At 47.4% G+C, this 25,650-nt stretch overlaps 1 protein-coding gene across 10 annotated transcripts in view, besides 1 other annotated feature; it reads right to left on the bottom strand.

Moving 5' to 3' along the window:
• Window positions 1–25,650, bottom strand: part of CAMK1D (calcium/calmodulin dependent protein kinase ID) — a 485,999-nt gene that overhangs the window by 53,787 nt on the left and 406,562 nt on the right. For all 10 annotated transcript variants that reach the window (XM_006717483.5, NM_153498.4, XM_006717482.4 and 7 more), the window contains 2 exons: window positions 20,673–20,811; window positions 11,960–12,086 (listed from right to left, as the gene is read on the bottom strand). In XM_006717483.5, the coding sequence (XP_006717546.1) occupies window positions 11,960–12,086; window positions 20,673–20,811 (266 nt within the window). The remainder of the gene's footprint in view (window positions 1–11,959; window positions 12,087–20,672; window positions 20,812–25,650) is intronic.
• Window positions 14,952–15,452: an enhancer, noted in NCBI's record as "H3K27ac hESC enhancer chr10:12808306-12808806 (GRCh37/hg19 assembly coordinates)". NCBI's record gives its function as "activates a minimal SCP1, AML or CMV promoter by ChIP-STARR-seq in primed H9 embryonic stem cells {active_cell/tissue: H9 hESC(primed)}" and the evidence as "EXISTENCE:reporter gene assay evidence [ECO:0000049][PMID:30033119]".

Below are 25,650 nucleotides of genomic sequence, written 5' to 3'. Positions count from 1 at the left end.
AATCGCTTGAACCTGGGAGGCAGAGGCTGCAGTGAGCTGAGCTCGTGCTACTGCACGCCAGCCTGGGCAACACAGCAAGACTCCGTTTCAAAAAAAAAAAAAAAAAAAAGTATCGCCAAAGAGCAGCTTACCCTGATCTGTCCAGTAGCCTCGAGTTTCACCACAGGCATGAGAAGTCCCCATGAAAGCACCATACTGGTATGTAATTACCATTCTCATCTGAGCTGGGACTGCTGTTTAAATGCTCCCAAAGCCAATCATGGAGGAGTGAGGCTAAGGAACGGGGAGGGAGTAGAAGCTGGGGCCACTGGGCTTTTGAAATGTGGGAGGGCCTTGGAACTCCGCGGGATGGAGGAAGTCAACTGTGCCAAGGAAGGCATTTCAGAGCAATGTGGCCACAAACGGCACTGCTGTGCGGCCCTTCTGGGGTCTCCCATGGGGGCCTACCTGCTGTGTGATCACGGCGTGACGCCTACTCTGTACTTAAGTCAAGCCTTTCTTGTGAAATCTGATTAAGAAGACTGCCGTAGTCATTCCAGGGTTTTGGTTTTTAATCATGACAAAGAACAAATGGAGCTCCACAATGCTGCCCTCCCCCTCTTTCCCACCACGACAAAACGTGACCTCCCTCCCACATCAAGTATCTAAAGAAGCAATTCCACAAGGAAGAAAAGTGCCTTAAAAACACTGTGTTCAGAGCGACTCTGTGGGACTGCCATGTGTGGGATGGGGCTCCTCAAAGCCAGGCTGGGTTTACGTCGCCCACGTGCGATGAGTCAGGTCCACGAAGAGGAGCAGGCCCTACAAGTCTCCCCACTTAGGGGGCCCTGTCCTCTCCAACACCGGGGGTCTGGCTGCAGCCCACGGTGTGATAAAATGTTCGCTGTGGGCTGTCACCAAGTGGCTGTTGAGAAAGAGAGAAAACTCTCATCTGGATGTTCCACCTACTCATCTGTGCCCTGTATGACAATTTCTCAGTTACATAAAACCCTGTTGTGACACTAACAGTCGGAGAGGATGAGAACAATGATGTAATGCTTATAGTCATGGACCAAAATATGGTATTTAAGTGAGAAACAAATAAAAAGCAAGCTCTGTTGGGGAGCAACCACATCGAGGAGTGAAGACGAAAGGACTGGGAACAGAGGCGCTATGGGGAAAGATGAAAAGAATCGAGATCACTCAGAAGACAGACGCTGGGGAGGTCCATTGACTGAATCCTTCTTCTTGGCTGTACGGAGTGAAGACAGGAACAATGATGGCCAGTATCCTTGACACGTAGATATTTACATACTTAAAGGATGCCAACTCACAAGTCTATAGAAACACACAATGTTAAAACCAGAAAAAAAATTTACAGGAGATATTTAGCCCAGCACATTTATTTTATATACAAGAAACTGAGAATCCCCAAGTTTAAGTGAAAGGCACAGGCCTCCTTCATATCTAATCAATGGCAGACAGAGGAGGACGCTTACATTCAAGTCCCCTGCTGGGTGGCTTTGAGGATAGAGGTCCTCGCCCCAACACTGTGCTGGCTGGAACCCCTGGTTTCCAAGAGCTCATCATAATCCCACGCCCCACATCAACTTCTAGAAGTGCAGTGATCCCTGAATTAACACCAATCCTCTAACTCAGTGAAAAAATACACCGAGAATGTTGACCAACTGTTCTCCATCTCCTTTTAGAGAAGAACAAGATGAAACACGTTTAAACTATTTTAGGCAAGTTAAGGCCGAGTTAGACCAAAGATATCTATCGTGGCTTTGCAGCCAACATGGCAACTAAGTTCCAGAAGGAAATGAACGATTCCTTCCCCGACAGCCTCAGGAACATAACAGTCAGCCACCATCTAAAGCATCAAGGTGCAGGTCTGCTTCTAGACAGAACGATGGACCAGCTGTACATGTTCCTTCTTATTTCTGAGTGACATCCGTAATGGAATAGTGTGGCTGTGGTTGTGCACTCCACATAAAATACTGCTAGGTGATGAACTGTCACTGAATAAGGCTCAAAAAAAAAATTCTCAACTAGGCACAGTGGTTAATATCTGTAATCTCAGCACTTTGGGAGGATGAAGCAGTAGGATCACTTGAGCCCAGGAGTTCAAGACCAGCCTGAGCAACAAAGTGAGACCCTGTCTCTACAAAAAAATTCAAAAATTAGCCAGGTGTGGTGGTGTGCACCTGTAGTCCCAGCTCTGCAGGAGGCTGAGGTGGGAGGATCACCTGAGCCCAGGGGATCGAGGCTGCAGTGAGCTATGATCATGCCACTGCACTCCAGCCTGGGGGACAGAGACCCTGTCTCTTGAAAAAAGAAAAGATAAAGATAGAAAACAGGCCATCCTCCACCAAATAGAAGTTTCTCATCTGTCTTGTCAATTACGTGATTGATACGGATGTTTTCTGTCACTTCCTACTGATGTTCAGTGATTCAGATATTTTAATTAATGCAGCTGAGCAGGCAATATACATAATTTTACTAACTTCCTTAGCTCTGACTTTTATCTCTTATTGCCGAGACCAAGGGGAATGTTATACTTGACTTAATTAAATGGATTCCCAATCTTGGTCAATACCATATTGAGAGCCACCATGGTATCCTGAGGAGCCACTTTCCACCAGATGGGCCCATCGTTTCTCCTAAATGATCACCAAGTACAATTCCACCAGCCCTCTCTCGAGGCTCAGTGAGTCTGTTCATTTCTCCCAGATCCTCCAAGAAGCAGCCCGTGACTCTGGGCCTCTGCTCCCCCTGCCTGCTCTGCACCTGTGACTCTCCTTACTTTTGCTCAAGTCCTACCCTTCCTCCAAATCCATGTCCTCCAGGAGTTTTCCCCTGGTCATTCCAACCCTTGATGAACCCTCTCATTCCCGTATTTTTTTAGAGATGGGGTCTCACTCTGTTGCCCAGGCTGGAGTGCAGTGGTGTGCTTATAGTTCGCCGTTGCCTCAAAGTCCTGGGCTCAGGTGATCCTCCTGCGTCAGCCTCCTGAATAGCTGGGACTACAGGTGTGTGCCACCACACCCACCTACTATTTTTTTAGAGAGACAGGGGTCTTACTATGTTGCCCAGGCTGGTCTCAAACTCCTGGACTCCAGTGATCCTCTCACCCTGGCCTTCCAAGGTGCTGGGATTATAGGCATGAGCCACTGTGCCCAGCCTTCACACCTGTATTTTAATGTTGCTTCTGAAATACACTGCCTCACATGAATCTGTGTGGCCCATCTACCACAATCTACTGCAGAACCTGTTGGTGTTAGCAGAGCCAGCCCTATGAGCCGCCCACATCTCAGTGACATGGATGGGGATGCCCACCAACTCCTGCTATCAGTGAAGTGATGTGCCGCCTCCACAGGCCACAGTCCTTGCAAAGGGTGTGTACAATCCAGGCAGCCGCCACATGTAAAAGGGTGAAGTTCCAAGTGCTTATAGTCCTCTTGCCTCCTCCTAAGGCACCCTGTGCATTGGGATACTTGGGGAAAAAGCACCAATTTCGGTTTCATTGTTAGAGAGCTCATTTAAATTGAAGTCATAGCTTCATGTCGGCAGAATTAACTATTCAGCTGAATAGTCATTTAGATAATAATCAAATGGTGATTCACAAATTGAAACCAACACTTCGACCTATCAAAAGTCTGAACTCAAGCTATAAACCTATAGATTGCCCTGAGGGGAATGGAAGCTTTTCCTCATCTTTATTCACACATTTCTTTCTAAATACAAAGACACCATGCTAGGCTGGGAACAGACAGCAGCGTCCTGCCCCTGGCTTGGGCCCAGGGGACAGTGTGGTCCCTGAATCACAAGTGGCAGCTCTCTCTCCCTCCTCCCTCGCAGCTGCCAAATGGGGCTGGGCTCTGCCCTGCTCAGATGGAAAACTTTCCAGCAGTTTCTTTGCTCAAGGTTCAAAATGGTGTCCCAAGAGCCTTGCAGGGAGAAGCCATGGCTGCGGAAGGAGGTGAGTGGCTGGGGCGAGCCCCACGGTGGACATCATGCTGGTGTACTTACCAAGACCCGTTTCACCTTCTTCCTGCCATTCCTCTGACCACAGGGCCACCACACTTAATTAATAGTTCAACCAGGGCCAGGAATGGTGGCTCACGCCTGTAATCCCAGCACTCTGGGAGGCCGAGACAGGTGGATCACCTGAGGTTGGGAGTTCGAGACCAGCCTGACCAATATGGAGAAACCCCGTCTCTAATAAAAATATAAAATTAGCCTAGGGCATGGTGGCGCATGCCTGTAATCCTGGCTACTCGGGAGGCTGAGGCAGGACAATCGCTTGAACCCAGGAGGCAGAGGTTGCAGTGAGCTGAGATCGTGCCACTGCACTCCAGGCTGGGCAACAAGAGCAAAACTCCGTCTCAAAAAAAAAAAAAAAAAAAAAAAAAAGTTCAACCAAATCCTCATCTTACTTGACTCAGTAGCAGCAACTGACATGTGATAACTTCTATGTGAAGCACTTTCTCCATGTCTGACGGGGAGCACGCCACTCTCCGCCAGCACTCTTTCTACTTCACCCACTGCCCCTTCTCTGTCTTGGTATCCTCTGCGGGATCCAGCTTGTCCCCCTGACCTCTCCACCCTGATGTCCCCAGGACTCAGCTCTGGGATCTTTCCTCTCCTTCATTGCCTATCCCGGTTCACGGCTTTAAAACGCAGCCATAAATTAACATCTCCCAAATCTAGTTGATCCTCATTACTCAAGGATTCTCTATCTGCAAATTTGCCTACTGGCTAAAAGTTATTTGCAACCCCCAAATCAATACTTTGTGGTCATTTGTGGACATGCATAGAGTGACCAAATACTTGAGCTGCCTGATGTGCAAGTTTCAAGCTCAGGCGGAATGAGGTGGTGCTCCTTCTTCATGTTTCAGCTCAGACTGTAAACGAGGGTCTTTTCTCACCCTCTATTTGGTGTCGTGTTTTTCACATTTTTGTGTTTTGTTGGAGATCTCCCTGTTTACAACAGCCCCAAGCATAGTGCTGAAGTCTGTCTAGCTTTCCTAACAGCAAAGAAGCCGTGATATGCCTTTCAGAGAAAATCGGTGGGTTAGAGAAGCTTCCTTCAGGCAGGAGTTACGGTGCTGTGGGCTGTGAATCGATGTTAATGATTCAATAACATATATTCAATAAGGTGTCTTTAAACAGAAACACACATTCTGAAAAGGTCATGTACTGATTGGTTGATGAAAATGTGACCAGAGGCTCACAGGAACCCAGCCTGTGTTTCCCTTAGGAGCAATGGTTCAGTATTGATTAATTCAGTGCTTTCAGCTATTTGCTATAACAGAACATGATGACTACGAACAGCGAGAATCGACTGCACATAGTTCCAGGGTCATGTTCCAGCTGCCCTCTTGGCTTAGTCAACTTTAACAAATTGAAACCAAGCTCCTCCTAAGGCATCTGCAATCTGTTCATCCCACAGGCTCTTCCACCTCCAGCAAAGACAACTGCACCCTCCCAGGGTTATCAGGCCCAAAAACCTTTGAATTATCCTTGCCTTCTTTCTTTCTCTCAAACCCTACTTTCAATCTTTCAGAAAACCTTGAGGACACTGCCTTTGAAATATACCTGACATCTGATAGCTTCTCATCACTTTTGTTGCTACCAATACGACCTAAACCCTTTCACCTGATCAATGCCTGAGCCTTCTCACAGTCTCACCTGATCAATGCCTGAGCCTTCTCACAGTCTCACCTGATCAATGCCTGAGCCTTCTCACAGTCTCACCTGATCAATGCCTGAGCCTTCTCACAGTCTCACCTGATCAATGCCTGAGCCTTCTCACAGTCTCACCTGATCAATGCCTGAGCCTTCTCACAGTCTCACCTGATCAATGCCTGAGCCTTCTCACAGTCTCACCTGATCAATGCCTGAGCCTTCTCACAGTCTCACCTGATCAATGCCTGAGCCTTCTCACAGTCTCACCTGATCAATGCCTGAGCCTTCTCACAGTCTCACCTGATCAATGCCTGAGCCTTCTCACAGTCTCACCTGATCAATGCCTGAGCCTTCTCACAGTCTCACCTGATCAATGCCTGAGCCTTCTCACAGTCTCACCTGATCAATGCCTGAGCCTTCTCACAGTCTCACCTGATCAATGCCTGAGCCTTCTCACAGTCTCACCTGATCAATGCCTGAGCCTTCTCACAGTCTCACCTGATCAATGCCTGAGCCTTCTCACAGTCTCACCTGATCAATGCCTGAGCCTTCTCACAGTCTCACCTGATCAATGCCTGAGCCTTCTCACAGTCTCACCTGATCAATGCCTGAGCCTTCTCACAGTCTCACCTGATCAATGCCTGAGCCTTCTCACAGTCTCACCTGATCAATGCCTGAGCCTTCTCACAGTCTCACCTGATCAATGCCTGAGCCTTCTCACAGTCTCACCTGATCAATGCCTGAGCCTTCTCACAGTCTCACCTGATCAATGCCTGAGCCTTCTCACAGTCTCACCTGATCAATGCCTGAGCCTTCTCACAGTCTCACCTGATCAATGCCTGAGCCTTCTCACAGTCTCACCTGATCAATGCCTGAGCCTTCTCACAGTCTCACCTGATCAATGCCTGAGCCTTCTCACAGTCTCACCTGATCAATGCCTGAGCCTTCTCACAGTCTCACCTGATCAATGCCTGAGCCTTCTCACAGTCTCACCTGATCAATGCCTGAGCCTTCTCACAGTCTCACCTGATCAATGCCTGAGCCTTCTCACAGTCTCACCTGATCAATGCCTGAGCCTTCTCACATCTCCTTCCTCCACCCTACCCCCACCATCTATCCTGATCCCAGCTCGTGTCCTAGAGCAGCGATCCCCAATTTTGGCACAAAGAACCCGTTTCACGGAAGACAATTGTTTCAAGGATACGGTATTGGGGATGGTTTCAGGATGAAACTGTTCCACCTCAGATCATCAAGCATTATTAGAGTCTCAAAAGGAGCGCGCAACCTAAATCTCTTGCGGGCACAGATCACAACGGGGTTCAAGCTCCCATGAGAATCTACTGCTGCTGATCTGACAGGAGGCGGAGCTCAGGCAGGAATGCCCACCAGCCTGCCTCTCACTTCCTGCTGTGCAGCTCGCTTCCTAACAGGCCCCGAATCAGTATCAGTCCAAGGCCCAGGGGTTAGGAACCCCTGTCCTAGAGGGAAGCTGTTAAAAACAATATGTCACTGCCTTAACACAGAAGCATCCCACGGCATCCTATCACCGAGTAGAAGCTAAAGTCTATACGACGATTTCCAAGTCCTGGTCCACATACCCCTGCTCAGGACTTCTCCGACTGTCTCTCCTATTCCTCTCCTTCCTGCTTCCCCTGCTCCCTGCTGCTTGCCCACATTCTCCTGCCTTCAGGCCTCTGCACTGGGCCTGGAATGCCCTCCAGATACCTGCATGGTCGGTTCTCTCGCTCCTATCAAATCTTTACCACGGCCACCCTCTTAGTGAGGGCTGCCTGCACACTGTAGTTAAAATTGCCACCACCCTCTGAACACACAAACTTCTTATCATCTTTTCTGCTTCATTTTTCTCCATAGTACTTAAGGCCACCTAACACACGAATGAACTTAGCTATCAATATTTGCTTTATAGCCTATGTCTCTCTCACTCAGATGTAAGTGCCACTAGGGAGGGGATTTTTATGTTTTATTCTTCTATTTCTATTGATGTACCCGCCCCCCTCCCCCCGCACCAGTGCCCAGAACAGAAGGTAGGCAATAAATAAATAATTCTTCAAGGGCTGAATGATGTAGCCCTTAGCATACATTAAGCTGACCTGTTTGCTTTCTCTCTCATAATACTGAGGTCAGAATTTGTACCTTATTCACATTTGTATTCTCTCATTTTTTTGTTTTTGAGATGAGTCTCACTCTATTGCCCAGGCTGGAGTGCAGTGGCGCAATCTCAGCTCACTGCAACCTCTGTCTCCCAGGTTTAAGTGATTCTCCTGCCTCAGCCTCCTGAGTAGGGAGGCTGGGATTACAGGCGCCTGCCACCTTGCCTGGCTAATTTTTTGTATTTTTAGTAGAGACAGGGTTTCACCATATTGGCCAGGCTGGTCTGGAACTCCTGACCGCAGGTAATCTGCCTGCCTCTGCCTCCCAAGGAGCTGGGATTACAGGCATGAGCCACCGCCCCCGGCCCATATTTGTATTCTCAAACCAAACATTGTACACTTGGCCCTTGTATCCATGGATTCAAAATATGCGGATCCACAGATCAAAAATATTTGAAAAAACAATACAAATAATACAAATAAAAACAATACCTATGACAACTATTTCCACAGCATTTACATTGCATCAGGTATTGTAAGCAATCTAGCAAGGACAGTACACAGAGGCCACGCCTAGGTTATATGCAAATACTATGCCATTTCATACCAGGAACTCGACCATCTGAGGATGCTAGTATCTGCAGAGGGTGAAGTATCTTGGAACCCAGCCCCTGTGGATACCATGGGACGACTGCACAGAGTACACAGCAGGAACTCAATAAATGCATGCTGAGTGAATGGAAGGGGAAGAGAGAAAGAAAACATGGCTAAGATTCATGATCTGTGTGTTTTTACTAAATTCAGTAAGTGTCTGCACAAAGATTTCATGAGACTCACAGTGCAGTGAGAGACACAGATTGATACGAACCCTAATGCAATGTGATCACACCATGACAAGGAAAGCGTCATAGAAAGAACCAGGATGTCAAAGGAGAGGACAAGGTGACAGGAAAGCAGTCAAAGGAGGTAACATTTAAATTGGGCTTTGGTGGCTGAATAGGAGCTTGCCATGCAGACTGCAAGGGAGGAAACAGCCCAAGCTCAGCTGCTAACTGCCTAAGGGATGTCCTCTAGATACAAGCTCTTCAAAGCAGCCCCTTCCCTACTCTGAAGTTGTGTCCCCTCCACACGACTCACTCCAGAGGGGCACTCTTGGTGGAGTTTCAGCGCTCAGTCAACACAAACCAATAGAAGAACGCCACTGCTACAGTCCTCCTCTCCCCCAGCCTCCTCCAGGACAACCTGGTATCTCACAACACCATTACCCAATGGCTCCCACTGGCTGCCATTTAGAGTAGCAAGAGCGATGGACTCTTCTCAACACCATTCCCGACACGTCAGTGCCAGACACAGCAATCAACAGACTCAGACCCCGCAGATGGCAGCCACTTAGAAACCAGAAAAACTGCCATTCCGTGGGCTTTGCCAAAACACAGAGCAGTAAAACTCAATTTAGAAAGTGCTGGAGCTTTCCAGCCAAACATGAGAAGCACGTGATGCGTACGTAGCTAGGGGCCGTCACTGGTTGTCAGAGCATTTAAATCACAGCCCAAGGGTCAACTTCCTGAAGGGAAGAGATGGGCAGGCCACAGTATCAGCACCTTCTCAGCCTGGGGAGACTGCTGAAAAGAGAACCAGCATCATGACCTAACAGACCTTTTCATTTTCTAATGTCTGGGATTCCCGATAGTTGGAACAGGCTCTCCCCACTCAGCTTGTCTCGTCTCATGTATTCACGGCTTCCCTGATGGCTCAGATCGAGCTGGAGAAATTCCATGAATATACCACACACACTCTTTCCTCCCGTCACCACCCCAGGCACATGTCCCCCAGGCAGGGACCATGCTATTCCTGCAACCGTTATCACGCTATCTTAGAAGAGATGATCGACTACTATGTTGTTGATTTCTATCAAAGCCTATACTGGCTTTTTTTTTTTTTCCTGAGATAGCATCTCGCTTTGTCACCCAGGCTGGAGTGCAGTGGCGCAATCTCAGCCCACTGCAACTTCCGCCCCCCAGGTTCAAGCGATTCTCCTGCCTCAGCCTCCCAAGTAGCTGGGACTACAGGTGTGAGCCACCATGCCTGGCTAATTTTTGTATTTTTAGTAGAGATGGGGTTTTGCCATGTTGGCCAGGCTGATCTTGAATTCCTGGACTCAACTGACCCAACCACCTTGGCCTCTCAAAGTGCTGGGATTACAGGCGTGAGCCACTGCACCTGGCCATGCACTGGACCTTTCAAAAATGAGCAGAGCAACCTCTTCTTCTGTGCCTTCTGCATACACACGATCCAGGGAATTGAGCCCCCCTGCGATGGTGTCCACACAGCTCCTCCCCAGCCACGTTTCCACCCCTGCATCTCCCCGCTTCTAAACCCTGCTGCTTCTTTCCCTTCCCCTTATTTTGTTCTCTGCCCGCCTCAGCCTGCTCTTGTCTTTCCTCCTCTGAGTTACTCTGAAAATGAACAGCTATGACACTTGAGCTTGACATGGCTCTGTAATTATATGCAAGGACCTGAAAGGCCACAAAGTGGCCCCAAGGTCATCTGGAGTTTCCCACAATACCCCTTGTATCTCCTTTAGTTTGAGGCCGGCTCTCCTCAGCCTGCCTGGGAAGGTTCTGTGGATGTCCCCAAAGACCCACAGGGTGATGCTGGTCACATAACATACCTCCTCTCTCAGGTGGGCTCAATGGCTATTCTCATGAAGAAAGGTCACCGCACTTCGCATGACAAGAACTTAGCCTCACTCAGGCGCGGCGGCTCATGCCTGTAATCCTGGCACTTTGGGAGGCTGAGGTGGGCGGATCACCTGAGGTCAGGAGTTTGAGACCAGCCTGGCCAACATGACAAAACCCTGTCTCTACTAAAAATACAAAAATTAGCCTGACATGGTGGCAGGCGCCTGTAATCCCAGGTACTCGGGAGGCTGAGGCAGGAGAACCACTTGAATCCAGGAAGCGGAGGTTGCAGTGAGTCGGGATTGCGCCACTGCACTCCAACCTTGCAACACAGCTAGATTCAGTACCCTACCACACCCCCCACCCCCCACAAAAAAGAAAGAATTCAGACTCAGACTTCATTTTCCATAACTCTTTTCCAACCTCATCTTTTTTCTTGCTCTCAGACATCCCTAGCTCGTACCCTCTCCCAGCCTTCAGGCTTTCGCACAAACTGGTTACTCTTCCTGGGATGCTGTCCTGTAACTCCCACATGGCTGGCTTCTTCTTGCCACTGAGACCAAGGCCCAAGTCTCCTCCCTGTCCTCTCAGCCCAGTCCTGATTCCTTGTCACTCCATGGCAGGCCCCCAGGTTTAGTTTCTTCATAGTACTCAAGATCTGAAATGACCCTGTTTGCTTACTTGTTCCAACTAAAATGTAAGCTCCATGAGGGCAGGCACCGTGTCTGTGTCATTCACTGCCTTAACCCCAGTGCCTGGTACAGCATCAGGTACATAGTAGCAACTTTACATACATTTGCTGAATGAATGAAGGAATGCATGAATACGCTGATGTCAATGAAGGTCTCAGAACAATCACAAGTATTCTAATGGTGTTTCTCCAGGACCCCGGAAGTCAAAAGATGAACATCAGAATCCAAGTGTTCAGATCCGTCAGTAGTTTCCTCTGCATTTTGGATGTTTAGTACAAAGAATTGGGGGTTGTGATTTAAGGAAAAACTTGAATGCCTAGCATCGCAGTACAGATCAGGGTTAACTGATTGATGAGAGTGACTTGGTCAAGGTCTGAACCAGGTTCCTCCATCAATGTTCCTATCTCAGTAATTGGAATAAAAAGTTTTCTTGTGTGTGCACCTTACTGTTATCTCAGTGTCTCATTGTAAATCCCTCAGAAACAGATGTATGCAGTATCTCTGGAAATGGAACCTGGGATTCATCCAAATTAACTCCCAGCCTCCAGTCAGGCCCACAACCAAATCAAATGGGATTTCTACCCAACTGTGCAAAAGTTTTCAGGGGAAATCACTTCCCTGCTATGAATTATTCATTCCAGTGTCCCTCAATCTTTTTATTCTTTCCCCCAGGGGAAGTGAAGGCAGCTGTGATTACATGCCAAGCTCATATGTTTCACACAACTGATGAGTTGACACGTGGTGACACCACACATGAGGACATCACACACACACGGGCACATGTGTGCACATGCACTGTCCTTACCGACATAGCCTGGAGTTCCACAGGCAGTGGACATCACATCTCCTTTGCCCTCCATTTTTGACAATCCAAAGTCACTGATCATTATTTTGGACTCCTCATCTTGACTGTAGTACAAGAGATTTTCGGGCTAGAAAGAAAATAAGAAAAAAACATTACAAACTACGTGTAAAGCTGGGTTAATTGTGGAAGACTCATTCAGCTGCAAAACCTATTCACAACGTCAGGACGTCCTTGACCTTTGGACACAGTAGATGCATCAACTAAAGCGGCGGCCAATAGAAACAGTGCAGAGCGCCCGGCACAGTGTGTCTGGCACACACAGGCTTTCAATCAACGTTAGTCTCTTTCCTTTACTAATATTTTGTCTACTTTAAAAAACTCACCATATTCTGAGGCAATCTAGAAAGCCGATTGCTTTGCAGACTTGTGGATTTACGTCTGGGGTTAGGGAAGGGAGATTCCAGGAAATGAAGTAACTCTTGCAGGTGCTTCTCTGCTCCTTTTTATGAGTGATTTTTCTTGAATCCAAGGGTCTCTGTTTCTGCCCTCAGCAACACGCCCTGCTGCCCTGCAGTTCTGGGAGATGTGCTGCACTGCACCCTTCATGAAGGCCAGCTGACCCGTGCTCGCTCCCCTGCCAGGAAAGCAGAGGGATGCCATCCCGGAATAAATGAATCTGGAATTGGAAGACGCAGCACTTCCAGCCATGTACCCTTAAGGGGTCCGCACTTCTGTTTGCCTTTCTGTGAAGCATGGGTTGATTTCATCCTTTGTCTGTTCCTCTGAACAGTGCTTGGGCAGCAGGAATGCACAGCAAAGGCCTTCTTCCATTTCTTATGGCCCCCGTGTTCCTGTCTTCACTACAGTTCTGCAACATACAGGAGGGGCTGAGAGTAGCAGTCCTGGGGTTGGCATGGGAACCAGTGAAGTATCATTTGCATCGTGTTTTATGTAGAATTGGGGAATCTCATTGTTCCTAGCAAGGAAGCAGGGGTGGGTCTTATGGAGGCTGAGAAGCTACAGCCTTGGACTTGTCCTTGCACTGCTGCGTGGGCCTTGAACACAAAGAGGAGCCTGCATTTTTTTTTTTTTTCTGAAGAGCTGCTGGACTTGATGACTCCTGGATTCATCATCATGGTGACGATTTATCACGGGGGGAGACGATGTCAAGGACTGTCATCTCTGCTGTTGTCCAGGAATGTCCACCCTCCAGGATAATCCTCACCCAGTGAATGAGGAATCGTTTCTGTCATTTACACCAAACCTTAAAGGGAGCGCAGCACGAAGAATCTGACATGGGAAAGGCACTTTCCCACAGCATTTCCCATCCAGCTCTCCTCCCCCGCCCCAGCGGGGACAGCCACATTCTCTCTCCTCAGGGGTTTGTGGTGAACCTTGGGTTTCAGACTTTAGAAACTATTCTTATGTAGAGTGTGAAAGGAAAATAAATCTCAGGACCCCAAAATCACTAAGCCGGAGGGAAAAGTCAAGCTGGGAACTACGCAATCCTGCCTCCCATTTTACTCCTAAATAACATAGCTACAAAGATAAAAAAGCCACATTCCTCCCTCATGATTCGCCAGTAAGGAAATTCCTTGTGGGCAAAAGACAGACAAACTCAAACTCTGGCCAGGCACGGTGGTTTACACCTGTAATCCCAGCACTTTTGGAGGCCAAGGCAGGTGGATCACCTGAGGTCAGGAGTCCAAGACCAGCCTGATCAACATGGCGAAACCCCGTCTCTACTAAAAATACAAAAATTAGCCGGGCGTGGTGGCACATGCCTGTAATCCCAGCTACTTGGGAGGCTGAGGCAGGAGAATTGCTTGAACCCAGGAGGCGGAGGTTGCAGTGAGCCAAGATCGCGCCATTGCACTCCAGCCTGGATGACAAGAGTGAAACTCCGTCTCAAAATAACTAACTAACTAACTAACTCAAAGTCCTCCCTCTGCTCACGGGAGACAAATACATACCTGATTGCTTCCTCTGCCTTATTGTTTCACTGAGCCAGACTAAAGCGTGAGTGACTATTCCTGTAAAGTGTGTATTCAGTGAAGAACTGATCAGAGACTCAAAAGAAAGCAACTCTTTGTCTCTTATCTACCTAAGACCTGGAAGCCTCTGCTTTGAGTTGTGCCGCCTTTTCATACCTAGCCAATGTACATCTTACACATACTGATTGATGTCTCATGTCTCCCTACAACGTATAAAACCAAGCTGTGCCCTGACCACCTTGGGCACATGTCATCAGGATCTCTTGAGGCTGTGTCATGGGCACATTCTTGACCTTGGCAAAATAAACTTTCTAAATTGACTGAGACCTGGTTAGGCGCAGTGGCTCATGCCTGTAATCCCAGCACTTTGGGAGACTGAGGAGAGGGGATCACCTGAGGTTAGGAGTTCAAGACCAGCCTGACCAACATGGAGAAACCCCGTCTCTACTAAAAATACAAAATTACCCAGGCATGGTGGCGGGCGCCTGTAATCCCAGCTACTCAGGAGGCTGAGGCAGGAGAATCACTTGAACCTGGGAGGCGCAGGTTGCAGTGAGCCGATAGTGCGCCACTGCACTCCAGCCTGGGCAAAAAGAGTGAAACTCTGTCTCAAAAACAAATAAAAAAATAAAAATAAATTGACTGAGACCTGTCTCAGGTATTTTTGGGTTCACAAGAGTGAGCAGACTTGTTTAGAAAAGTGGTCCTCGGCCTGTTGTGCAGCAGAGGCACCTGTGAGGGTATTCACTGGCCAGAGATCTTGCCCTTCAGCGGGTCTGAGATGGGGCCCAGGGCTCTGGATTTCAGAGCTCCACAAGCAGCATTCTGATGTGTCAACATCGCAGTGAAGAAATTTTCAGAACTCACCAAGACTCCCTCCTTGACCAAACTTGAGGCAGGTTCCTCTGACTCCCCTGCTCTCCTAGGCCTTGACCTTGGCCTTGTCTATCCCACCCCTGCCAGGCCTGCGCAGCCCTGTCTTAGCCGGTCTGCTACGTTGGAGAATCCCCCCACCACGGGTATCTGATCAAGTTCTTCACCCACCCCACCCCCACTGACAGGACTCCTGCTGAAGCCAGGCCAAGGTAATTCGGCATTGAGATTGGGGTGATACAGGAGCTAGAAAGAAATTATTTTGCAGATAGTGAGGGTAAAAGAGTCCTCGGCAAGGCTTCCCTTCTAACAAAAAGCAGCCCAATAAATTATTATTTTTTTTTCTAACAAAGAACAGCCTGAAAAATCAAGCTGCAAACATAAATAAGCAAGCTGGAAGCTTTCACTGGTGAATGCCAGCAGCTGTGCCAACAGAAAAGGGCCACCTGGGGGTCAGGCATGTCCAATATGGAGGCTCCATCTCCCTTTTCTTTGTCAGCCACGTGTACGCCACTGCACTCCAACCTGGGGACAGAGGCAACACTCCGTCTCAAAAAAAAAAAAAAAAAAAGAAACAGGCAACGTGGGGCTGGCCAGGCAGAGAACCCATCTGCATCATAAAAGATTAGGGTGGGGATGGCAGGGCACGGGGCCAGGGCTGGGGGAGGAGGGGGGGCTCACACCTGTAATCCCAGCACTTTGGACTTTGGGAGGCTGAGGCAGGCGGATCACCTGAGGTCAGGAGTTTGAGACAAGCCTGACCAACATGGAGAAACCCTGTCTCTACTAAAAATACAAAACTAGCCGGGCGTGGTGGCACATGCCCGTAATCCCAGCTACTAGGGAGGCTGAGGCAGGAGAATCACTTGAACCTGGGAGGCAGAGGTTGCAGAGAGTTGAGATTGCGCCATTGCACTCCAGTCTGGGCAACAAGAGCGAAACTCTGTCTCAAAAAAAAAAAAAAAAAAAAAAAAGATTAGGATGGGGGCAGCCAGCTTTTCATGCCCTATGGAAATGGCACACCTAGCCCTAACTAGTTTTTTGTGTCCTATACAAATGGCACACCTGGTCCAACCAATCTTTTGTGCCTTATGTAAGTCAGACACCACCTCCTCAAGCTCAGCTATAAAACCCCCCTGCATTTCACCACAGACCGGAAACCCGCTTGGGACCCCTCTCTCTACAGGAGAGAGCTCTTCTCTTTCTTTCACCTACTAAATGTCCGCTCTGAAGCTCACTCCTTGTGTGTCTGCATCCTTGATTTCCTTGGCGTGAGACAATGAATCTCGGGTATCACCCCAGACAATGAGGCCACTTCAAAGGCATTAGGGATCTGATGAGATCACGCGGGTGGAAGATTTCAGCTCAACTGATTCAGCAGGATTCTTGCTAAAAACTGGACCTACTGGACAGCCAGAGAGCAGGGTCTAATCAGAAAGAGGACTCAAAGGGGCCTTTGTCAATGTCTAAGTCCTTAGCCTGCCTTTAGCAGGAATCCTGCCAGGTCAGGTTAGCAAAAATCCCCCTAATTTCCCATCCACTACCCCCTCCCCTCTCTTCTTTGGCTATAAATCCCTACTCGTCTAGCTGTATTCCAAGTTGAGCTCAATGGCATTGCAATGGTCTTGAATAAAGCCTTCCTTACCATGTCAAGTGGTGTCAAAATAATTCTGTTCTTTAATAGAAACTAAAGAATAAATACTATCCTTCACCTCAAGTAACAACACAGAAAGGGATGGCAGTTAAGAGTCACTGTGACATTAATTTTGTGGATGAAGCAGGAGATTAGAAGAAAATCAACTGTGCACTGAAGGATGCTTCCAATGAGGTTTTTTTTTGAGATGGAGTCTCTCTCTGTCACCCAGGCTAGAGTATAGTAGCACAATCTCAGCTCACTGCAACCTCCGCCTCTTGGGTTCAAGGAATTCTCCTGCCTCAGCCTCCGGAGTAGCTGGGATTACAGGCATGTGCCACCACACACGGCTACTTTTGTATTTTTAGTAGAGACAAGGCTTCATCATGTTCGCCAGGCTGGTCTCAAACTCCTGACCTCAGGCGATCTATCTACCTCAGCCTCCCAATGTGCTGGGATTACAGGCATGAGCCACCGCACTGGCCCCAATGAGTTTTAAAAGAAAGTAAAGTCGCCAATCAGTTGAAACAAGAATGCTGTCAAGCTTAGAAAAGGGGCGGGAATGCTCGAATCATAAAGACCACATGGTTCATGTTTTCTCTGGAAGTTTAGGGATTATCCTTCACTAAACAATAAGGATCCAATCATGGGTGCAGAGAGAGGACAATGCTGTTGTTTCTGATTTTTTATCTTCCTTGTCCCAGGAGGTGATAAGGAGAGGAGAGTAAGTGATTTCACACTGCTAAACAAGGCATAATCCTGGCAAGGGGTGGCCAAAGGGCTCAGAGCATCGCACATCCCTCCTAGAAAAGATTCATCTGGGTCAATAAAATGCTGTTTTGAAGACCAGTTACGCCCAAGGAGGGTTAAATCAACTGGTCATTCACAGTTTAGATCAATGTTTTTTTTTTTTTTTTTGAGACAAAGTGTCATTCTTGTTGCCCAGACTGGAGTGCAATGGTGCGATCTCGGCTCACTGCAACCTCTGCCTCCCCAGTTAAAGCGATTCTCCTGCCTCAGCCTCCTGAGTAGCTGGGATTACAGGCACCTGCCACCACACCTGGCTAATTTTTGTATTTTTAGTAGAGATGGGGTTTCACCATGTTGGTCAGGCTGGTCTCGAACTCCTGACCTCACGCAATCCACCCGCCTCCGCCTCCCAAAGTGCTGGGATTACAGGCGTGAGCCTCCGCGCCCAGCCAATCAATACTTTTAATTGGCCCAAGACTTGTAAGGACAGCAGGGCTTTTCCTGGGGGAGGAGGGAAGACGGTGGGGGAGAGGCAGGCTCAGGTATCATCTGGGTGGGAGGCCCCATCCCCGATCCCAACAGGAGGGCTGTGGGGGTGGGGGCCACAGGGAGAGGGTCTGGCCCACATTGCATCACAATTCCTCCTGGTGTCCAAAGAGGTCCGGGACTCACTGGAAAAATTAAGTTTTCGGCATATTATGGCATCTTTGCAAGACAACTGGTGGCCAATACCTGAGTTGGAATATCAACCCCAACACTTTATAATAATCCACATAATAAGCTTTAATAAGATCGGAATCAACACACTTCTGGTAACGTTAATGTTATCCATAATCACATTCCTACTCCAGTGATTCTCAACTAGGGGCAATTTTGCCCCCCAGCGGATGGATATCTGGCAATGCCTAGGGACATTTGTAGCTGTTAACAATTCCAGACGTAGTACTCGTATCCATGGGCAGAAGCCAAGGATGCTGCTCTAAATCCCACAGTGCCCAGGGCTGAATGCCAATGGTGCAGGGGCTGAGAAACCCAATCCTAATCCACTGAGGCAGGACCAGGCACTTCCAGTCTCAGTCACTTCATTTTGCAAAAAGAGCAACTGTCTCTAATAGCTTCTCAGGGCAACAAGACATCGCATAGCTTTCTACGAAGAGAAGGAGGTACATTTGCAGGTAGGCTGGGGCAGTATTCCGATTGCTGCACTAAGCTTAAATTAACACGATCATCCTCTCTCTATTGCTCTGGGCTTGGTTATATAGGTTGTTTTAACTTTAATTTTCTTAGCTGTTTACGCAAATTTAGTAGTCCAATTTCAACTTCCTCCTCATAGATCAAACTCCTTTGTGCCTCTGAAAAGAGATCACAGAAAGGTCCTAAAATGGCAGTGTTCTTTACGTAACGACAGGCCCGGTGATCTTAAGGCTCCACAGGATGGAAGCTGCAAAGATTCCTCCAAAAGCATTACGTAGGTTAATTAAAAACATTATCTCCCATACAGCCAATCAGCCTTTCCAAGGGAGAGATAAACACTGCCCCTCCTGGATATGCCTTATTTGCTTAGAAATTATTTTTCTAATAAGTACAGACAGCTAGCCCATCACAGTGCATCCCTGTGGTCACCACACGAACGTGTTCAGAGAGAGCTGCCTATGTGTTCTGGAAGCACAGAACTGGCATTTGTGGGGGCACAAGAGAGCAGAGAAGGCCCGGAGGCCTGGCAGAGGTGCCAGGTCGGCTGAGCTAGCCCCTACCTAGCCCTCTGAAGTATCTCCAGGCCCCGAACATGAGCTGACCACGCCCACAGCCATTTCAGATGTCAAGAAGCCTGCAGAGGATGAAGGCTCAAAGGGATCCACTAAGATTCCCAAATATCCTCGCCCAGTGGTTTTCCAAGAGCAGTTCCCAGACCAGCATCCTCATCACGGGCAGACCTGTTAGAAATGCAAGTTTTCAGCCCCCACCGGAGACCTACAGAATCAGACCACTGGGGATGGGGCAGCAGTCTCTATTTTCATAGCCCTCCAGACAATTCTGATATGGGCGAACATTCGGGAATCACTGCCTGGGTCAATGGAACATGACAACATGCAGAAAAACCATGGTAGTGAGTCTTTATGAAAGAAAAAGCTACACCACTTTATTCCTTAATACCCAGTAGCAGGTAATAGCCAGGTGTGGAAACTCTGTTTATACAAATGTTTATGACTGGTTCTTTAAATTGATTTTGATTTCCCACAGTTGTGTACAGCACAGCTTCAAGATGATATGATCCTCGTGTTTATAATGAGTGGTGGGTATGTGTGCTGGGGTGGAATTTTTGTCTTGACTGGTGCAGTAAGCTCTGGGGGCTGGACCTGTAAACATCCTAGAATGAGGTCACATTGCAGCTTTGGGTCAACCGCACTGCTTTCTACTGTTTCTCAAGTTGATATGTCTGATACCTACCTTTGGTACCATATGTGTGACATCCACCCTTCAGTACTATTGTGTTTGACATCTGTCCTTCAGTGTCTACATAGACCTGCTGGGGAGGGGCATATATGCCAATATAAGGCCCAGATCCTTCTGTGCCAACGGGGAAAGGGTCAATATACCAAAACCTCATTAGGAAACTGTAAGAAAAGAACCTGCAAGACACTATTTTTATTTATTTATTTTTTTTGAGACGGAGTTTCGCTCTGTTGCCAGGCTGGACTGCAGTGGTGCGATCTCGGCTCACTGCAACCTTCGCCTCCTGGGTTCAAACGATTCTCCTGCCTCGGCTTCCTGTGTAGCTGGGACTACAGGCACGCGCCACCACACCCAGCTAATTTTTGTATTTTTGTAGAGATGGGGTTTCACCGTGTTGGCCAGGATGGTCTTGATTTCTTAACCTCATGATCTGCCTTCCTCGGCCTCCCAAAGTGCTGGGATTACAGGCCTGAGCCACCACGCCCAGCCAGTCATAGCTCTTTTAACCTGTCTTTTTCCCTTCTATTTCTCTTCTCCCTCTTCTATATCTGCTTACCTTCTGTTTCCCTTCACTTTCCTCTCATGATGTCTGACCACTGCTCTCTTTCTTTTATACAGTGTGTTGTGCTGCAATGGGGCTGGAATTGGCAAAGGTGCTGCGGAACTGCACCGGGAGGAGGGTTTCTGTAGCCTACGTGTCTTGAGCAAAATCGTCTCTTAGATAGGCTCGAAGCAATATATAACCCACCTCCCTGTAACCCTTTGGCTACATAATGGTTGTAAAAATCTCATGAACAGTGGCCAGCCATGTGAATCTTCATCTTCTTCCAAGATACTTCTGGGTCTGGATCCCAAAGGCCCTGACAACTCAAAGTACACAAATGCCCACCATCTGCTGCACCCACTCTACATCAGAGCAGCTGCATGCCCCCACTGGCATCAGCCCTCTTGGTCGCGTGCATTGCGGGCTGCAGAGTGGCTGCAGGATGCTGCTGAGCGATGGCCTCACCTTGAGGTCTCTGTGGACGATGCCCATTCTGTGGAGATAGTACACGGCGTCCAAGACTTGGCGGATCAGAGTGCTGGCATCCTTCTCTGTATAAAACCCCTTCTCCACTATCCGGTCAAACAGCTCTCCACCGGACACCCTGGCAAAAAAGAACATATTAGAAGTTTGAAAGGATCTGTTGAATTGTGAAGGGAAAGCTTCCAATGTGAAAAAAATCCCAAACTTTATTGCAAAAATGAATCCATCTTCAGATTGAGATGTTGCCCCCCTATTCCTCAGAGGCTATAGCCAGGAAATGTTTCCATGTCACAGCAGAGCAAATGTCTGGAACCAAGTAAAGGAAATTTAAAAAAACACGATCCACGGACCAGCCACACCTGGGTTCTGTCCAGGCCTCTGCCTCTGTTCTGCTGTGATGATGTAAAGTTTAAAAAAACCCTTCCTGAATACCAGCGTCCTCGGATACAGGAAGATGACCCTGAATAAAATGTCTCCTTTGCATGAGACAGTATCCTTAAATGACCGAGAGTGTTGTGGGCAAAACGCTGGCCTGCCAACGGGATGTGTGGGTTTTTGACCAAGTTCTGCTCCTAATATACTGGGATACGAACACCGCCTGAATCCCTGGACCTTGATGTTTTTATGTGTAAAATTAGGGGATGAATCTAGTCACCCATTTCAACAGTGGGTGGGAGCATGCCTTCGGAATGATCAGAACCTCAAAGCCACTTGTGATTTATGAAAAAGCAGGCAAGAAATCAAGACTATATTTCATTACTTTGCTTTGGTTTTAGTGATGCTGTATCCTTTTTATTAGCTTTGCATTTCAGATTGCATTTAACATTTTTAAACATTTTTCAAAATGGGACTAGGTTGGCAAGGGTCAAGAAGCCCTGTGGGGGCAACCTCTCTGGCACCTTTCAGCTCTGATATTTTATGCTGCCCTGAGTTCAACAAAATAATGGAAGTGTACAAGCCAGAATACAAACAACTCAACTAGTGTTCTCCAAATCATCTCAAATCATTAAGCCATCTTGGAAATAAATTTCAAGGGATTTATTAACACTACTGAAAAAAAAGAAAGAAACATTTTTCAAAAACAAGATGAGACAGATTTGAAATGCTAAAATCAAAAAGCAACTTAAATAAACAACCCTTAAAGCTTTCACAGATATAACAAAAGACAAGCCCTACGGTAACACACACTCATACACAAACACACAAAGATAAGATTCATTTTCCAAAAGGCACGACAATTTATGCGCAATAACTGATCCACTGAAACCTTCTTTTAAAAAAACTAATCAAACAACCACTGCAGCCGTAAAAGGCCTATGTGCTTGTCTCTTCCATTACCTATAGTCATAGCAGGCAATATTGTGCTTGGATAATGTTTCATTTCCAAGGCAAACTGACAATCTAGGTAAGAAAGAAAAGGTGCTCAGGAGAAATAAAAAAGCAATTCCAAGAGTGAAAAGAAACGGAAACGACTGGGAGAAACTACATTTTGATGACCGTGTTGTCTCAATGATCCATGCTTAGGTAAGCCAAGAGCCCAAGATACTCCTCCTGACACCAACTTCTCTCCTCTCATCATTTTTCAAGAACCTTCCCCCAACAAGTTTCAACATCTGAAACTTTGCAGAGCTCGAGAATGTACCAGAAGAGGTAGACTGCTGTTAGGGACAAGGTGAGTCTGGGTGCCCTAGAGACATTCACTTCTTATTTTTTCTGAGACAGGGTCTCATTCTGCAGCCCAAGCTGGAATGCAGTGGCATGATCACAGCTCTCTGCAGCCTTGACCTACAGGGCTTAAGCGATCCTCCCACCCTACATCAGCTTCCTGAGTAGCTGGGACCACAGGTACGTGCCACCACACCCGGCTAATTTTTGTATTTTTAGTAGAGACGGAGTTTCACCATGTTGCCCAGTCTGGTCTCAAACTCCTGGGCTGAAGAGATCCTCCCGCCTTAGCCTCCCAAAGTGCTGGGATTACAGGCGTGAGCCACTGCATCCGGCCTGCATTCACTTAATTATTTATTCAACTACTCACTCAACATTTCCTGGGTGCCCATTACATGCCAGTGAGCATGCCCAGTGGGATGCAATCGAGGCAGCTTTCACTCTGAAGGCGGAACGTCTGTTACGATTATGCCCTTCCACATAGGCCCCCTTCCAGTAGCAGCCTCCCTAACTGCTGTCTCCAGGGCTTGCTTCTCACTGTTCTGCCTGCTACTGCCTCCTCTCCTCTGCAACTGCTGGATGACCTCTGGCAAGAACGCTTACCCCTTCCACTGCTCCCACCACCTCCTGCCCTTAGGACCCCATGATCCAAACCTGGCCAACCTGCGTCCCTCAAAACCTACCTGTCCTGCTTCCCATTCTGTCAAGGTCCTCTTTTTTCCCATTATGTGATATATAAGGTATGGACGAATTCTACTGAATGAAAAAATCTGCATAAAATATTTTCTGTCTTACAGCAGTGCCATAGGGCAGCAATGCAGTGAAAACTGAAGCATCAAAGGATAGCATGTACTGTTGCAGAGTCTCAATGCTCTGCACATTTAATATTCTGCTTCTTACATTTCAAACTGCACCAGGGCTCTATTTTTCTGAACACTGCTTGGAAAGAATCTGGTCTCCTTAGAAACCGAGGCACAAGGGGAAAGTTTAGAATCTTGCCAATAAAGAAATATGACAATATGATATTGTCATATATTTTTATGACTAATAAAAATATATTAAATCTGCAAATCTCTTTGTACTTTTCAAAATTCTCCTTAAGCCTGCATTTCAAAAACCTATGGTACTGTTATGGACTGAATGTTTACGTCCCCCAGAATTTATAAGCTGAAGACTTAATTCCCAATGTGATGATGGCGTTTGGAGGTGGGGTCTTTGGGAGGTGATTAGGTTTAGATGAAGTCAAGAGGATGCAGCCGGGTGTGGTGGCTCATGCCTGTAATCCCAGCACTTTGGGAGGCCAAGGAGGCGGATCACCTGAGGTCAGGAGCTCAAGACCAACCTGGCCAACATGGTGAAAACCAGTCTCTACAAAAATACAAAAATTAGCTGGGCATGATGGCGGGTGCCGGTACTCCCAGCTACTTGGGAGGCTGAAGCAGGAGAACTGCTTGAACTGGGGAGGCAGAGATTGCGGTGAGCCGAGATCATGCCATTGCACTCCAGCAATGGAGCAAGACTCCATCTCAAAAAAAAAAAAAAAAAAAAAAAGAGCAGGGCCCCCATGCTGGGATCAGTGTCCCTGTAAGAAGAAGGAGACCAGAACTCTCTCTTTACCATGTGAGGACACAAGGAGAAGGCAGCTGCCTCCAAGGCAGGAATGGAGCCCTCACTATAATCTTCCCACACTAGCACCCTGATCTCAGACGTCCAGCCTCCAGAACTGTGAGAAAATCAATTTCTGTTGTTTAACCCAATCTATATGGTATTTTGTTGTGGCAGCCAGCACTGACTTATTCATAGAGCTAGTTGTGAGGTAGACACTATCCCAGAATCACTGCTGGGGAGATAAGTTTGGCGTCATGGCAACTTCATGTCTCATTTTCAGGCTTGCAGACCATGCTTAGGTTGGCTGTTTGGTTATTGAGCTGACTGAGAGGTTTTTTTTGAGTCAGACAGCTTCTATGTCAAGCCTCCTGTGTGCATGTTTGAAAGCTCCACATCAGAAATGAAGTTCCCCAATTAAAACATGCAAAGCATCAGAATGAAGTTAGAAGGGACAGGGGTCAAGTGATTGGGGAAAAGGAGTACAATCACAGTAATATATCAATAAATTAAAATGAATAAATGAGGCCGGGCACAGTGGCGCACATCTGTAATCCCAGCACTTTGGGAGGCCGGGACGGCTGAGGCTGCAGTGAGCTATGATCGCACCACTGCACTCCAGTCTGGGTGAAGGACCAAGACCCTGTCTCAAAAAAAAATAAAGTGAATGAATGGCATAATAGCTATTAGGAGAGAGGCTCAGCTTCTTAGGATGCAGATCTGGAAAGGTAAACAGGCTGGCAAAGATTAAGGAAGCAGAAGACAGAAGAGATAGTCAAAAATTCTCTACTCTTCTGAATTCCAACTTTGAGGTTTATTTACAACAGCCTGCCTCTGCACTGAACTTGGGTTTGTTCAGTTCTTTTGTTTTATTTTGAGACGGAGTCTCACTCTGTCGCCCAGGCTGGAGTGCAGTGGCATCATCTCGGCTCACTGCAAGCTCCCTGGGTTCACGCCATTCTCCTGCCTTAGCCTCCCGAGTAGCTGGGACTACAGGTGGCCACCACCACGCCCGGCTAATTTTTTTTGTATTTTTAGTAGAGACGGGGTTTCACCGTGTTAGCCAGGATGGTGTCGATCTTCTGACCTCGTGATCCACCCACCTTGGCCTCCCAAAGTGCTGGGATTACAGGTGTGAGCCACCGTGCCCAGCTGTGTTTGTTCAGTCTCTAATCTTCCTTGCCTAAGACAGTATAATGCCATTGTATTGTGTGCAAATTTTAAATATGCAAATATGAAATCGTTTGACATAATAATCTCAGTAAAATTTCAGTATGTTTGCCAAATTTTACATGATCCCATTTCTTTCAAATTAAGAAGTAATTGTCAAAAAACATAACATCATTTTGAAGTTGCTGGACCGAGTAAAACTCAGCTCTGACGACACAGTGGTATACTGCAATGCAGTCTAATAGAGTCAGTATGCAATGTATCCCTTGTTAGTCCTTGGCCAGCCATGCTGTTGCTTACATGCATTCAAAACTTCTCCATCTTGATTTTGGTAGATATCCTGTTATCTTACAATTTACTGCTAATTGTAATTTAAAGTATTTTATGTCTTGAACAATATCAACCACACATTCATTAAAAGGGAGCACTTCTGCTAATGCTGGAAGCAGGCTCCAATAATCCATTCTATTCTAGAATGGAAGCTAGATGTAATAAAATGATATGAAGAAGGCCAAACAGT

Source organism: Homo sapiens, chromosome 10 (assembly GCF_000001405.40).
Source record: "Homo sapiens chromosome 10, GRCh38.p14 Primary Assembly".
Taxonomy (NCBI): Eukaryota; Metazoa; Chordata; class Mammalia; order Primates; family Hominidae; genus Homo; species Homo sapiens.
Note: the sequence above shows the minus strand (reverse complement) of the source record. Positions and strands in the feature narration are given on the sequence as shown.